This window comes from Homo sapiens, chromosome 1 (genome assembly GCF_000001405.40).
Source record: "Homo sapiens chromosome 1, GRCh38.p14 Primary Assembly".
Taxonomy (NCBI): Eukaryota; Metazoa; Chordata; class Mammalia; order Primates; family Hominidae; genus Homo; species Homo sapiens.
The window spans coordinates 113,612,724-113,629,129 of NC_000001.11; the positions used below are offsets into that span (position 1 = coordinate 113,612,724).

At 34.7% G+C, this 16,406-nt stretch overlaps 1 protein-coding gene across 5 annotated transcripts in view; it reads left to right on the forward strand.

Moving 5' to 3' along the window:
- The window catches only part of MAGI3 (membrane associated guanylate kinase, WW and PDZ domain containing 3), a 295,409-nt gene that overhangs the window by 222,209 nt on the left and 56,794 nt on the right, over positions 1–16,406 (forward strand). For all 5 annotated transcript variants that reach the window (XM_017000974.2, NM_152900.3, XM_005270737.4 and 2 more), the window contains exons 7-9: positions 1,878–1,935; positions 7,013–7,107; positions 10,083–10,271. In XM_017000974.2, the coding sequence (XP_016856463.1) occupies positions 1,878–1,935; positions 7,013–7,107; positions 10,083–10,271 (342 nt within the window). The remainder of the gene's footprint in view (positions 1–1,877; positions 1,936–7,012; positions 7,108–10,082; positions 10,272–16,406) is intronic.

Sequence of the window (16,406 nt, forward strand, 5' to 3'; positions counted from 1 at the left end):
TAAAGAAAGGACTGTTAATCTCTTAGTTGCTAATTACCTTGAGTGCTAACTAAAATGCTAAATCAACTTTCAAGTTAAGATTAAAATATATTTATGTTGATCTTTTATCCTTACTATTAGTACATCCCTTTTAGTGAATTTTTCAGATATCAAATGGACTATTTCAGCTATTTCTATAGTCCTTAATTTCTCCAAACTTCTCTAAAGACAAAACATAAATCTAATTGTGGTACAGTTGTAGAATTCCTCCTTACTCAGCTCTATTCAGTTCCCATGCTATTTCAAGAAAATTTCTATTAAAGAAAAAAATATTTTTCATGGAAGATCCATAACTGTTATAGTGCAGTTTTACAGATATATTCAAAAAAATTACTCTTATCCATGAAACAGTTGTTTGGCGATAAAATATTATATCTATTTGATAGATTTGCTTCATAGCTAAGGAGGATTAAAGTGAACTAAAGTACATCTCAGTTCTTTTTAATGTTTTGTTCTCTTCTCACATATTTCAACTATTTTAGTATTTCATTTGTTCTCATCTTTCCCACCTGAGACATTTCAACCAGGTCCTTCAAAGGAAAAACACAAAAACTCATCAAACTTTGAAACCACCAATCAATATATATGCAGAAAAGTATGGTGGAGAAATGGGGTAGGGGTAATTCAGACATTTTCACCAGGAGGCTAGTCATCTGTTCTTTTCTTATATTCTGAATGCAGAATAATAATTTTTCTTAGAGTAAAACAGTATAGCTTGTCAAGTTTATTATAATGGAATTTTTACTTACAAAGTTGGTATGTCATAACTGAGGCTAAATGATATAAAACTAATAAGTCTTGTGATGCTTTCTAAACCTGTTTGCTGTCCAGCGTACTTTTTGTGTGTGTGTCTTTCAGCAGAGCAGAAGCATTCTTAAGAGAAATTGAAAATAAAAGCGTGGGACATCATAGTGCACAACAGTGGACTTTTAAAAAAATTCTTTTTTGCTCAACTGCTATATAAAATGGATAGGACTAGAACCACCTGCTAGGAACATTCTTCCCAACTTATCCATGTTTTACTAATAAGATGGTTCTTCAGAAACCTTAACTTTACAAGGAATGCAGACAAAGTGGGAGGGAAAAGATTCACATTCACATTGAAAAGCTCATGTCAGTTCATGTTGAAAAGGCTAGAGATTTGTTTTAACTTTCAGAAATTCAACTACCTTCAGTATTTCTGGTTATATTTTATTGGTCACTTACTGAGAATTAGTAATATATAAAAATGCTATGTAAGGTATTTATTTGTTATCATTCACAAATACAGATTACACAAAGCACTGTGGTAGTTAGATTAGTGTTCCTTCAGATACTCAGATCTTGTTCACCAAGAGAAAGCAGGTACTTTTGTAGGTTTTAAGCAAATCTAGATTGCTCACTTGAAATGACAAAAGTCCAAGGCTAGGGTTTCCTTTGAGGAGAAGTGGGTCTGAACATAACATCAAAAATGACTATGTATAATAGTAAAAAATTGAACAGATACCTGCTTCTTCTATTGGACTACAAGGGTAAATATGTCTTGTGTCAGCATGATCAAGGTTTTTAAATGAAAGAAGTACACAGTAATTTTTATTAGCATTTTTATGGCTTGTGGTTCATATGAACACCTTTTTGTTTAATGCCATCTTCTGTTCTGGGCTTCTGATTGCTTGCTGAAATTCTCACTGGCTGGTGAAGAAGCCACTCAGACTTAAATTGTGTTTGTTCCTTGAAAGTGAGCCCTCAGCTTTCTGACACCCAAATATTAGTATAATGAAATAATAAATTCACTCACTGGTGAATTCTTTTCTGTCAGTTTTGAATCTGGCATTTCACTCAATTTTCTTTATTTACAGAGCTTCCTTATGGCTGGGAGAAAATAGAGGACCCTCAGTATGGGACATACTATGTTGAGTAAGTTTGTTACCTCAGTTAATATTCTCCCAAATATTTTCCTTTCAGCATATAGCTTTAGAGAATACTGGATACAGCACTTTATGCTTCTGTGATCCAGCTGTTGAGTTTTTCAACTAGGGGAATGAAAAGGTAGGGGCAGTGAGCATTTGCTTCATTGACCTTGGGCTTCCTGGAAGTTGGCTTTGAATTTCTAAATATAGAGAATAAGGGGGAAGTTGCCTAGACAATTAATAGCTAGAGATGGTATTGTTACTACTACAGCCTCTAAAGAGAAAGTCAGTTGATAGAAAACTGAAATGAGGGCAACAGACTAGATGAATTATCAAGGTCATTTCCAACACTACCACTGTATCCTTCTGAAAGCAGTGGAAGATCTTTAGGGCATTATAACATAATTATCTGAAGTTTTGAAGCATACACCTAAAGGTGTGCTCTCTTTTAAGGAGTTATTCAAGGAAAACTTAGTATTCTTTTTAGGGGTGAAAGTTGCTTCTTAGGCAGCTGCTATGGTTAAATTTAAACATAAATATATATTGGAGAGGAGTGCCAGACACCTGCCTATGTTAGCCAGAGAAATTAAGCTAATATCAATGTCTAATTTTGCCTTCTCTTTTCTTTATCTAATTGCTACAATGTTATGACCATTGGGATTGCTTTCTTTCCAGATGCTAAACACTGAATTTGACCTCAAGCGTCTAGCAGCAGGCAAATACTTCTATCAGAAACATTACTATTTACCTGGAGACTAGGAGTTAAACCTGCTGCCTAGGTAGCAAAGACAAAATGTTATTATTACCTGAAAAAGTAACAAACACAATCATCTTTAATTTTATAATTGTTTCTTAATGTTTCAACACTTATAGGCATAAACCAATGCCATTTCCTGGTAGTTATCCCTAAAGTAAGTATCTCTGACTCCTGTTGCAACTGTAGTCTTTATTCTATTGTGCAGGTTGTTACTTGAGTCACTGTGGTTAGAGGGATTTTTGGAATGACTTCTTAAAATTAAATGTGTCTCCTAAGGAAATGACTCAATTAGATTGACACTTAAGTATATAACTTTAGAATTTCAATATCTTGGTTCCTTTGAAAGCTATGCTAATTTTGTTTCCATTGTGTTACTTAATGTCTTACTGATACTGTGATGTAAAAAGTATACAGCAGCTCTTTTATTATTATTTTTTCCTAAGACTTATTTTGTTAAAGGAAGAAACAACCATTTTTCACATCAAAGGAGTATTTGGGGGCCGACTGAAAAGGTTTTGCAGGATTTTTTTCTTCCCCTCAAAGTTTAGTCTATTTAAATTGGGCTCTAATCAGCTATTTGCCATTGACACTGCTGAACATTTCTGAGATAATGATTCTCATTCTCTTTATTATCCATTCCAAGTGAATTTGAATACATGGTCAAAAGGTGAAAGTCATTTGCCTGTTATAAAACCTTGAGCTGAATGATCTGGTCCCCATTATGCAAAGATATAATATTAAAGCAACTTTAGGGCAAATCCTGAAGCGACCTGCTCCTAGTTGTCAGGGAGGTACATGAAATAGCCTGAATTAGAAGCAACAGCAGCAGCGACATGATTTTGTATGATTATTCCCAGAATGAGCTCATTTTACAGGAGGGTTTTGTATTAGACTAAGAAGGAGCAGACTGTACTCAAGATGCACATTAGTATGGAGTCAGCTGAGCTGTGGAGTGTGGCTTGATTCCCAGATTAGTTAGGTTTTGAATCTCGACCATAGTAATCTGCAGTGAGTTTACTGATGGAGATAAAAAGCTGTTACTTGAATGGCTACTCTTTGGCTCTCTTAGTTTGTCAAACCAGATGGCACGATGATTGCTCTTGGCAGGAGCCTTGTAGTAGTAACACCAACTGCAGTGGTAGTTTTTCTTTGTATTTATTTTAGAGGATGGGATTCTGAAATGGATGAAGTTATTTTTTAAAATAAAATTTTTCCAAAAATGTAATATGCTTATAATATGCATAAATATAAATATGCATAAGCTATAAATATGCTTATATATTTAGAAATGCGGTCTTGATTATATTGCATTACATGTCTTTTTAAAATTAACATATAATTATACACATTTTGGGGGTACGTAGTGATGTTTCAGTACACGTAATATATAGTGATTAGATCAGGGTGATAAGCATTAAATGTCTTGATGCACCTAGATGACAAAGTCAAAATATATACTTGCTTTCACAACTAAAACTTTTTTTTTTTTTTTTTTGAGACGGAGTTTTACTCTTGCCCAGGCTAGAGTGCAGCAGCACGATCTTGGCTCACTGCAACCTCCGCCTTCTGCCTCCCAGGTTCAAGTGATTCTCGTACCTCAGCCCCCCAGTAGCTGAGATTATAGGCATGCGCCACCACACCCACCTAATTTTGTATTTTTAGTAGAGATGGGGTTTCACCATGTTGGCCAGGCTGGTCTTAAACTCCTGACCTCAAGTGATCCACCCGCCTCGGCCTCCCAAAGTGCTGGGATCCCAGGCGTGAGCTACCATGCCCAGCCATCTAAAACTCTTTATGAAAGAATATTTTGTTGAGATAAATTTTTAAATCCAGATATTAGACATAAAATTTTAATACAGAAAATGTGTCAAATTGTGTACTAATATTTAATCATTCTTGTTTGCTTTGTTTCTTTCTGATAATCTGTAATATTCTCCTCTCTTATTTCCCACAGCTAGTTATTTGGAAAACAAAATTTGTTGTGTCTTAATAATAGTGTAGGTATAAGTAATTAAATGAAAAGGACAGTATTTTCACTTTTTTATTTTTTGATTTTTTTTGAGTGGCATTTTAGTCTAGATAGTCTAAGATAATGAAGACAATAACTTCCTTCAGTAAATCTTATATTCTTTTGTCAAATTTTTAGGAAAAGGATTACTCATTTGCATACGTCTACTCTCCTCTCCCACACATTACAAAGGGTATAAATACAAATTACTACTTTTTATGTTCTAATGCCTGGGTGGCAAAGTGAGTCATTCTAGCCAATGACTTTAAAGTGAAAGTGAGCCAAGGTTCTTTCTGAACAGGTTTATTCTTTTCTGAGTGTCAATTTTTAGTTGTTTTTCAAAAGAATATGTAAAATATCAGTACCTAAATAAATTTTTTAAAGTAGTTCCTAGGATTTTTATTTTCACAGAGTTAAACAGTTAACTCAGTGGACAGTGTATCCCCCGCATATTATGAAGCAGAAGCATACTTGAGTGTCAGTGAAATCAGAACCCAAACAATGTCCAGTGGCACTTACCATATTTAGAGCTCTTAAACTATTTAATAAGTAACTACGTCTGTTGTGGAACTGATATGTAGTAGTAGCCTGAGTGACATGGAGAAAGCTAACATTCCTTTTTTTGAAAGTGTTTTTTTAATTTTTAAATTTTTATTTTAGTCCCTGCTGCCCATTTCTCTACCACCACTCTTAATGTTTACAAATGGCAAAGCTCCAGCGTGGACAACATAGTAAGACCCCATCTCTACAAAAAAAAAAAATTTTTTTTAATTAGCTGGGCATGGTGGCACACACCTGTGGTCACAGCTACTCAGGAGGCTGAGGTGGGAATATCGTTTGAGCCTGAGAGGTTGAGGCTGCAGTGAGCTGTGATTGGACCACTGCATTCCAGCCTGGGTGACAGAATGAGTGCCTGTCTCCAAAAAAAAAATAAATAAAGAAATAAAAAGGCAAAGTAAATGTTCAACTTGTGTGACTATTTATATGTACATTTTGTAATATTCAGTCTACCTAAAAACAATCATGTTCTGAAATTCTCATGATTTGGTATTTAATTGTTGGTGTTCACTCATATCACCTCTTTATTTTTATTTTTTATTTTTTTTGCCGTGGAGTTTCACTCTTGTCGCCCAAGCTGGAGTGCAATGGCATGATCTCGGCTCACTGCAACCTCCGCCTCCTGGGTTCAAGTGAGTCTCCTACCTCAGCTTCCTGAGTAGCTGGGATTACAGGCATGCACCACCACGCCCAGCTTATTTTTGTATTTTTAGTAGAGATGGGGTTTCACCATGTTGGCCAGGATGGTCTCTATCTCTTGACCTCGTGATCTGCCTGCCTTGGCCTCCTAAAGTGCTGAGATTCCAGGCGTGAGCCACTGCACCCGGCCTCACTTCTTTAATTAAAGTGGAAAACTGTAGCATATGCTGAAATATATTTGTACTATGGAAGTGTTAGAATATGATTTCCATTGCTTCTGAATTAGACCTATTCGAGGTCCTAAACATCTTTTTTACAGCATTTCCTTTCTTAACCAACTCCACTTAACTGGCTTGCCAGAAGAATAGTGCTCTTTTTCTTCTGTAAAACATACTATCGCCCATAGCGTGTTGAATAGTTTGGCTAATCTCCTAGCGGCTAGTCTCCCCAGGCTTCCTGCTTTCTCTCAGAGAGTTGTATGCATTCCAAGAGTCAGTAGTGAATGTTCCCAAATCATAAATGCCAGTTGAACCTATGTTATAATTATTCATTTAATTATGATATAATTATGAAGAAATTTAAGTGTGAAAGAGTTATTCTATACTATAGTTGATAAAAGCAAGTCATTTTCTTAGTTGCTACTGAACGGATATAGGTGAGTCAGTGGAAAAGTAATAGTAATATAATTTAAAAAGGATTCTATACACAAATTTCTTTCAAAGTGCCTTTACAGCTTGCTTCATTTTGGAGAAACTTAAATTAAAACCCTTCTATCATTAACTGCCTTTTTTAAAAAAATTAAATTACCAAGAACAAGTACTTCTGATTGCATCAGATAAGAAGGCTATAGTTTTGAAAACTGTTATTGGCTATATTGGGTACGTTTATGAAGAAGCTATAGTAAATATAATATCAAAAGCTTCACAGCTTGGCATCTTCTGCAGGACTTTATTTAGCAGCAGAAAGCCCCTCTGCTATCATCTATCAGTCTCTCCATGTTCCATAGCCTAAAGATACATATTTGTCCCCTAATCTATGATGATGGAATGGTATGATAGACTATTTAAGAATATGTTACTGTTTTATTTTAAACTGAAATGTATATTTTTCTGCATTCTACAGTCACCTTAACCAGAAAACCCAGTTTGAAAATCCAGTGGAGGAAGCCAAAAGGAAAAAGCAGTTAGGACAGGTTGAAATTGGGTCTTCAAAACCAGGTAAGCATTCTTTTCAATCTTTTCTTCTAAGAATAACTTGTGAAATTTGTATGCTGAGTTAATAAAAGTGAGTTTGAACTTCTTATTTCTATGGCTTTGACACTAAAGAGTGTCTAGTTGTTACTGTAAAGATATGAATAATCTTAATAAAACATCTGAACATTATCAGAATACTGAGATTTTTCTCAGGAGTATACAAAAAGCATGAAGTTGTTGGGAGAAGGGATTTCGGCAGCTTTTTTATGAATTTGAGATTTTGTTTTGAAGATTGGAATGTTTCCTTATGTTTAAGGCTAGACCAATATTAGGTCTCCAGTTCATCGTTAGCTTTTCCCAAGTTAATTGCTTAAGTATGGTATCTGTAACCACTGAGGATTCTTCATTAACCAATATTAATAAATACTAAATATATCAAATGATTTACCTACATCATTGAGTCTCAAATGGGATGGTAGCTATTAGTAACATCAGATTCATTTAGGGAGCATTTTTTTAAAAATATAGATCCAGAAATTTCGATGAGTCTAATCATGTGTATTTTGAAAACACTGCTCAGGAAGTTCTTACATTCTACTTATCCCTCCCCATCCCTTTTCCAGCCCTCATTTGTCATTAATAACCAGGGGTATATATGGCCATATTGTAGTAATCCAGTAGATTCTCCACTTCGGTTGCCTATGAGAGAAATAGTTCTTTCTTATAGTTACTCTTCAAAAACATCGTCCTCCTCCTAAAGTTCTGCATTTCGTTTAGCAAACATTTTGAGTTTAACAAATACTTTTGAGCACTGACTATATCCCCAGTGCTTTGCTAGGCTCTAGGTATTCAAAAATGACTAAGAGTAAGACAGGGCTTGCCCTCAAGAGTTCATAGTCTAATACAGGAAACTGATGGTTATAATACATGGAGATAGGTGCCATCATAGAGTAGTAGTTATAATGGTAAGCTGAGGAGCAGGTTTGAATCCCAGCTGTGTAATCTTGGGTACGTTTCCTAAATCTCTAAATGCTCCTATTTCTTCATATATAAAGTAGGAATAATAATGGTACCCACCTTTTAAGGTGGTTATGAGTATGTAAATTAACAGATGTAAAGTGCCTACAATGGTATTAAGCACATGTTGACTAATAAATGATAGTTTCATTGTTATTAATAGACATGTACAAGTTACAGTGGTGGCATAAAGACGGGAGTACCCAACTCTGCTTTGGTGGGAAATGTCAAGTGGGCAGGAGAAATTTCAAAGCAGAAGAGATAGAAACTAGGTCTTGAAAAGTCAGGAAAAGTTAAAGCAGGCAGACAAAAATTTTAAAGGAGCAAGAAAGCATACCAAGTAGAAGGAACAGAATGTTTAAAATCACAGAAGCATGAAATGGTGTGCCGAAAGGCCAGAAGGCAAGTAGGTGTGGTTACAGCATAGGGTATTTGTAGGGTAGTAACAAGCGATGAGGTTGTAGGGATAGGCAGCCATGAGAAGAGGTTGAGTATGTCATATGTTGCTGGAATGTCAAGGAAGTTGAAGATTGAAAAATATGTGTTGGATTTGACAGTAGGGAGGTCATTAGTCACTCTAGGAAGAGCAAGTAGAGAGTGAAGTAAAATTGCAATAGAATGAAGAGGGTATGGGAGGTCAGACAGTACAACTGTTGGCAAAATGATAAACATAATTACCATATATTTATAGTAACTGCTGGAATTCCACTCAGTGTATACCCAAGATGAATGAAAATATGTCCACACAAAACCTTGTGAGTGTTCATATCAACATTATTCATAATAGCCAAAAAGTGGAAATAACCCAAATGTCCATCAACTAATGAATGGATCAACAAAATGTGTTGTTTATCCATACAGTGCCATATTATTTGGCAATAATATAATAAATATATTTTATCTTTAGTAAGTACATATTTAATTTAATATTTATTATATATTAATAATAAAGAGCAATAAAGTACTGACATATGCTACAATACAGATGACCCTCAAAAACACTGTCAAGTGAAAGAAACCATTCAAAAAACCACATATTGTCTGATTTTGTTTATATGAAATGCCTATATTGGGCACATCTATACATGGATAGTAGATTCGTGGTTTCCTAAGGCTAGGATATGGATGTGGGTTGGGGAGAAATTGGATAATGACTGCTAATGGGCATGGGGATTTCCTCTGAGGAGGGAAGAAAATGTTCTAAAATTAGATTATGCTGATAGTCGCATGACATTGAATTGTACACTTGAAAGGGCTAAATTCTATGGTATGTGAATTATATCTCAATAAATTTGTTAAAAAATAGATAATGGCAGAACATTTAAAATCTTTTTTACAGTTAATTTAATACTTCATAAATTATAAACCTGCACAATTTGATTCTCTCAGTTTTTGTCACTTTCCTAATGGCAGGCATGGTTGAGGAGAAGAGAGAAGAGGTTCTGGAAGGAAGTTGTTATTTGCAGATGTGAATCACTAGGGTCATCTAACCCCTAATAATGGGCATTTCAAAAGAACTATGTATTTTTTTTTCCTAAATTATCCACTAAACATGAGTGAAAGGGATAGAAATATGAAGCTATTTACTGATAGTAAAAAGATTCACTCCTTCCATCAGTTATAAATCAAAGACTGCAGAAAGCCTGAGCTGTGAATTATAAAAATTCTCAATATACTCTCTTTCATAAGTTTGTGACACTTGACTTCATCTTCCTGGTATAGTACTTTGCACATAAAACTCAGTAGATGCTGAGTTTTATAGTACAGTTGAATAGTATCCAAACTTTCAGAAATTGAGTGCTAAAGGTTGTATCATTTTGACTTCATATAATGGACTCTGGGTTGAAAGTAAGCACAGACAAGGCAATGAGAAAGAGATTAAGTTGAGAATAACATTAAAAAGTCATATAAAAGATTGACTCTGAGTGCTATATTCATTGTAATTATTTTTGTTCTCAAACCCACTTCTCATTTTGGCACAGATATGGAAAAATCACACTTCACAAGAGATCCATCCCAGCTTAAAGGTGTCCTTGTTCGAGCATCACTGAAAAAAAGCACAATGGGATTTGGTTTTACTATTATTGGTGGAGATAGACCTGATGAGTTCCTACAAGTGAAAAATGTGCTGAAAGATGGTCCCGCAGCTCAGGATGGGAAAATTGCACCAGGTAAGAAATTTTTCATAATTATTTGAAGAGTAGTGATACTATAACAAAAATTATAGTGAAGAGATTTTATATACATAAAGAGAGAGAAATAATTAAATTATATAACTAAAGAAAGAGATTCCAGTATTAAAATAGTTTATACTTTAATTTAAAAAAAAGTTGTATGGGTATACAGTAGGTATATATATTTATGGGATACATGAGATATTATACTATGATACAGGCATGCAATAAGTAATAACCACATCATAGAAAATGTGGTATACATCTCCTCAAGCATTTATCTGTTGTGTTATAAACAACCCGTTTATACTCTTTTAGTTATAAAATATACAATTAAATTATTGCTGACTGTAGTCACCCTATTGTGTTATCAAAAACTAGGTCTTATTCATTCCTTCTAGCTATATATATATATACACACACATATATATAATACACATATATATACACACACATACACACACACACACACACACACACACACACACACATATATATATTTTTTTTTGAGACGGAGTCTTGCTCTGTCGCCCAGGCTGGAGTGCAGTGGCGCGATCTCGGCTCACTGCAAACTCCGTCTCCCGGGTTCACGCCATTCTCCTGCCTCAGCCTCCCGAGTAGCTGGGACTACAGGCGCCCGCCACCACGCCTGGCTAATTTTTTGTATTTTTAGTAGAGACGAGGTTTCACCATGTTAGCCAGGATGGTCTGGATCTCCTGACCTCGTGATCCGCCTGCCTTGGCCTCCCAAAGTGCTGAGATTACAGACGTGAGCCACACCGCACCCGGCCTTTCTAGCTATATATTTTTTATATTCCTTAACCATCTCCACTTCCCTCTCACCGCCCCACCAACCCTAACTACCCTTCCCAGCCTCTGGTAATCATCCTTCTACTCTCTAGCTCCATTAGTTCAGTTGTTTTAATTTTTAGCATCCACAAAGAAATGAGAGCATTCAAAGTTTGTGTTTCTTTGCCTGACTTATTTCACTTAACATAATGATCTTCAGTTCCATCTGTGTCATTGCAAATGACAAGATCTCATTCTTTTTATGGCTGAATAGTACTCCATTGTGTATATGTACCATGTTTTCTTTATCTAATTATCTGTCGATGGACATTTAGGTGGCTTCTAAATCTTGGCTATTGTGAAAAGTGCTGTAACAAACATGGGAGTGCAGATATCTCTTCAATATACTGATTTCCTTTCTTGTGGGTATATACTCAGCAGTGGGATTGCTAGATCGTATGGTATCTCTATTTTTAGTGTTTTGAGAATCCTCCAAATTGTTTTCCATAGTGGTTGTGCAAATTTACATTCCCAGCAACAGTGTATGAGGGTTCCCTTTTCACCACACCCTCTCCAGCATTTGTTATTGCCTGTCTTTTGGATAAAAGCCATTTTTAACCAGGGCAAGAAGATACCTCATTGTGCTTTTGATTTGTATTTATCTGATGATCAATGACCTGAGCACTTATTCATATTGCTGTTTCTATGTCTTCTATGTCTTCTTCATGAGAAATGTCTATTCCAATGTTTTGCCCATTTTTTAATCAGATTATTAGATTTTTCCTATAGAGTTGTTTGAGCTCCTTATATATTCTGGTTATTAATCTCTTGTGAGATGGATAGTTTGCAAAGATTTTCTCCCATTCTGTGGGCTGTCTCTTCACTTGACTGATTGTTTCCTTTGCTATGCAGAAGCTTTTTAACTTAATGTGATCCCATTTGTCCATTTTTGCTTTAGTTGCCTAGGCTTGTGGAGTATCACTGAAGAAATTTTTGCCCAGACCAATGTCCTGGAGAGTTTCCCCAATGTTTTCTTTTTTTAGTTTTACAGTTTGAAGTCTTAGATTTAAGTCTTTAATTCACCTTGATTTGATTTTTGTATACAGCGAGAGATAGAAGTCAAGTTTCATTCTTCTACATGTGGATATCCAATTTTCCTAGAACCATTGAAGAGACTATCTTCTCCAATGTATGTTCTTGGCACCTTTCTTGAAAATGAGTTCATTGTAGGTGTATGGATTTTTCTATTCTGTTCCACTGGTCTATGTGTCTGTTTTTATGCCAATACCATCTTCCTTTAGTTACTATAGCTCTGTAGTATAATTTGAAGTCAGGTAATGTGATTCCTCCAGTTGTGTTCTTTTTCCTCAGGCTAGCTTTGGCTATTCTGGGTCTTTTGTGGTTCCATATAAATTTCAGAATTGTTTTTTCTATTTCTGTGAAGAATGTCATTGGTATTTTGATAGAGATTTGATAGAGATTGCATTGAATCTATAGATTGGTTTGGGTAGTATTGAAAAGAATATTGATTCTTCCAACTATGAACATGAAATATCTTTTCATTTTTTGTGTCCTCTTCAGTTTCTTGCATCAGCATTTTATAATTTTTAATGCAGAGATCTTTCGCTTCTTTGGTTAAGTTAATTCCTAGGTATTTAATCTTATTTGTGGCTATTGTGAATAGGATTACTTTTTTATTTCTTTTTCAGATTGTTCACTGGCATATAGAAAGGCTACTGATTTTTGTATGTCGCTTTTGTATCCTGCAACTTTACTGAATTTATCAGTTCTAATAGTTTTTTTATTTGTGGAGTTGTTAAGTTTTTCCAAATATAAGATCCCATCATCTGCAAACAAGGATAATTTGACTTCTCCCTTTCCAATTTGTATGCCTGTTATTTCTTTCTCCTGCTGATTGCTTTAGCTAGAACTTCCAGTCCTGTGTTGAGTAACAGTGGTGAAAGTGGGCATCTTCATTTTCCAGATCTCAGAGGAAGGACTTTCAGTTTTTCCCTCATTCAGTGTGATACTAGCTGTGGCTCTGTTGTATATATGGCTTTTATTATATTGAGGTATGTTTCTTATATAACCAGTTTTTTTAGGGTTTTATCATAAAGGGGTGTTGAATTTTATTAAATTTTTTCAGCATCAGTTGAAATTATTATAGTTTTTTTGTTTTTGTTTTGTTTTGTTTTGTTTTTTAGACTGAGTCTCTGTCACCCAGGCTGGAGGGCAGTGGCATGATCTCAGCTCACTGCAACCCCCACCTCCTGGGTTCAAGTGATTCTCCTGCTTCAGCCTCCAGAGTAGCTGGGATTACAGGCACTCACCAGCACGCCTGGCTAATTTTATATTTTTAGTAGAGATGGGGTTTCACCATGTTAGCTAGGCTGGTCTCGAATTCTTGACCTCAGGTGATCCATCTGCTTCAAATGATTATAGTTTTTATCCTTCATTCTGTTGATACCATGTATCACACTGATTATTTGCATATATTGTACCATCCTTGCATTCCTGGGATAAATCCCACTTGGTCATGATGAATGTTCTTTTTAATGTATTGTCAAATTTTACTTGCTAATATTTTGTTGAGGAGTTTTACATCAGTACTTATCAGAAATACTGGCCTGTAGTTTTCTTTTTTTTGATATGTCTTTGATTTGGATATCAGGGTAATACTGGCATCACAGAATGAGTTTGGAATTATTCTTCCCTCTATTTTTCAGAATAGTTTGAGTAGGAATTGTATTACTCCTTTAAATGCTTGGTAGAATTCAGCAGTAAAGCCATCAGATCCTGGGCTTTACTTTACTGGGAGACTATTATGGCTTCAATCTTGTTGCTTGTCATTGGTCTGTTCAGGTTTTAGATTTCTTTGTGGTTTGATCTTGGTAAGTTGTGTGTGTCTAGGAATTTATCCATTTCTTCTAGGTTTTCCAATTTGTTGGCATATAGTTGCTCATAATAGTCTCTAACAATCCTTTGAATTTCTGCAGTATCAGTTGTAATGTCTCCTGTTTCATCTCTGATTTTATTTACTTGGATCTTACCTCTTTTTTTCTGTTAGTCTAAGGTTTGTTAATTGTATCTTTTCAAAAAACCAACTTTTTGTTTCTTTGATCTTTTGTGTTGTTTTCTTCATTTCAAATTCATTTATTTCTACTCTTTCTGCTTTTCTTCTATTAATCTAGAGCTTAGTTTTCTCTTTTCTAGTTCTTCAAGATGCATCATGAGGTTATTTATTTGAAGTTTTTCTTTTTTTATATATATAGGCACTTATAGCTATAAATTTCCCTCTTAGTACTGCTTTTGCTGTATCCCATAGGTTTTGGTGTGTTTTGTTTCCATTATTATTTGTTTCAAGAAATTTTTCCAATTTCCTTCTTAATTCCTTTATTGACTCACTGGTCATTCAGGAACCTATTGTTTAATTTCCATGGGTTTGTATAGTTTCCAAAATTCCCCTTGTTATTAATTTCTGATTTTATTCCATAGCAGTTGAGAAGATACTTGATATAATTTTAATTTTTTGGAATGTTTTAAGACTTGTTCTGTAACCTAACATATGGTCTATCCTTGAATGATGCCGTGCTGAGGAGAATATATATTCTGCAGCCATTGGATGAAATGTTCTGTAAATATCTATTAGGTCCATGTAGTCTATAGTGCAGATTAGGTCTGATGTTTCCTTGTTGATTTTCTGTCTGGAAGATCTAATGCTGAAAGTGGGATGTTGAAGTCTCCTGCTATTATTGTATTGAGGTCTATTTCTCTCTCCTTAGCTCTAATAATATATATCATATATTATATAATAATTATATATATAAAATATATAATTGTAATATATGATAAAATACCTCTCTCTTTAGCTCTAGTAAAGCAAGTAACACTTGCTTTATGTGTCTGGGTACTCCAGTGTTGGATGCATATACATTTACAATTGTTATATCCTCTTGCTGAATTGACCCCTTTATTATTATATAATGACCTTTTTGTCTCTTCTTGCAGTTTTTGTCTTATAATCTATTTTGTCTGATATAAATGTAGCTACTGCTACTGTTTTTTGGTTTTCACTGGCATGGAATGTCTTTTTCCAGTCCTTTATTTCCATTCTATGTGTACCTTTACAGGTGACATATGTTTCTTCTAGGCAATAGATCATCAGGTCTTGCTTTTTTTATTCACTCATCTTCTCTATGTCTTTTGATTGGAGAGTTTAGTCCATATGGATTGAGTGTTATTAATGATCAGTAAGGACTTACTCCTGCCATTTTGTTATTTGTTTTCTGGTTGTTTTGTGATTGTCTCTTCCTTATTTCCTTCCTTCCTTTTAGTGAAGGTGATTTTATCTGTGGTATGATTTAATTTCTTGCTTTTTATTTTCTTGTGTATCCATTGTATTTTTTTATTTGAGTTTACCAGGACGCTAGAAAATACTATATTATAACTCATAATTATAAACTGAGGACAAATTAACACTGATTGTATAAACAAAGAAGCAAACAAGCAAAAAGAAAATGAATAAAAACTGTACAATTTAACTTCATCCCTTCCTTTTAAATTTTTTGTTATTTCTCTTTATGTCTTATTGTACTTTGTCTTGAAGATTTGTTCTAGTTATTATTTTGATTGGTTCATTGTTTAGTCTTTCTACCTAAGAGTATGTTACCCACCACAATTACAGTTTAATATTCTATGTTTTTCTGTGTGCTATTACCAGTGAGTTTTGTACCTTCAGATGATTTCTTATTGCTCGTTAATGTCCTTTTCTTTCGCATTGAAGAACCCCCTTTAGCATTTCTTGTAGGAGAGATCTAGTGTTCACGAAATCCCTTAGCTTTTGTTGTCTGGAAGGTCTTTATTTCTCCTTCATGCTTACAGGATATTTTTGCCAGATACACTATTATAGAGTAAAAGGTTTTTTTCCTAAGCACTTTAAATATGTCATGCCACTCTCTCCTGCCCTGTAAGGTTTCCACTGGAAAGTCTGCTGTTAGACATATTGGAGCTCCTTTGTATGTTACTTGTTTCTTTTCTCTTGCTGCTCTTAGGATCCTTTCTTTATCTTTGACCTTTGGGAGTTTGATTTTTAAATGCCATGAGGTAGTCTCCTTTGGGTTAAATCTGCTTGGTGCTCTATAACCTTCATGTGCTTGAATATTGGTATCTTTCTCTAGGTTTGGGAAGTTCTCTGATATTATCCCTTTGAATAAACTTTTTACCTCATTTTTTCTGTACCTCCTCTTTTGGGCCAATAACTCTTAGAATTGCCCTTTTGAGGCTGTTTTCTAGATACTGTAGGTGTGCTTTATTGTTCTTTATTCTTGTTTTTTTTTGTCTCCT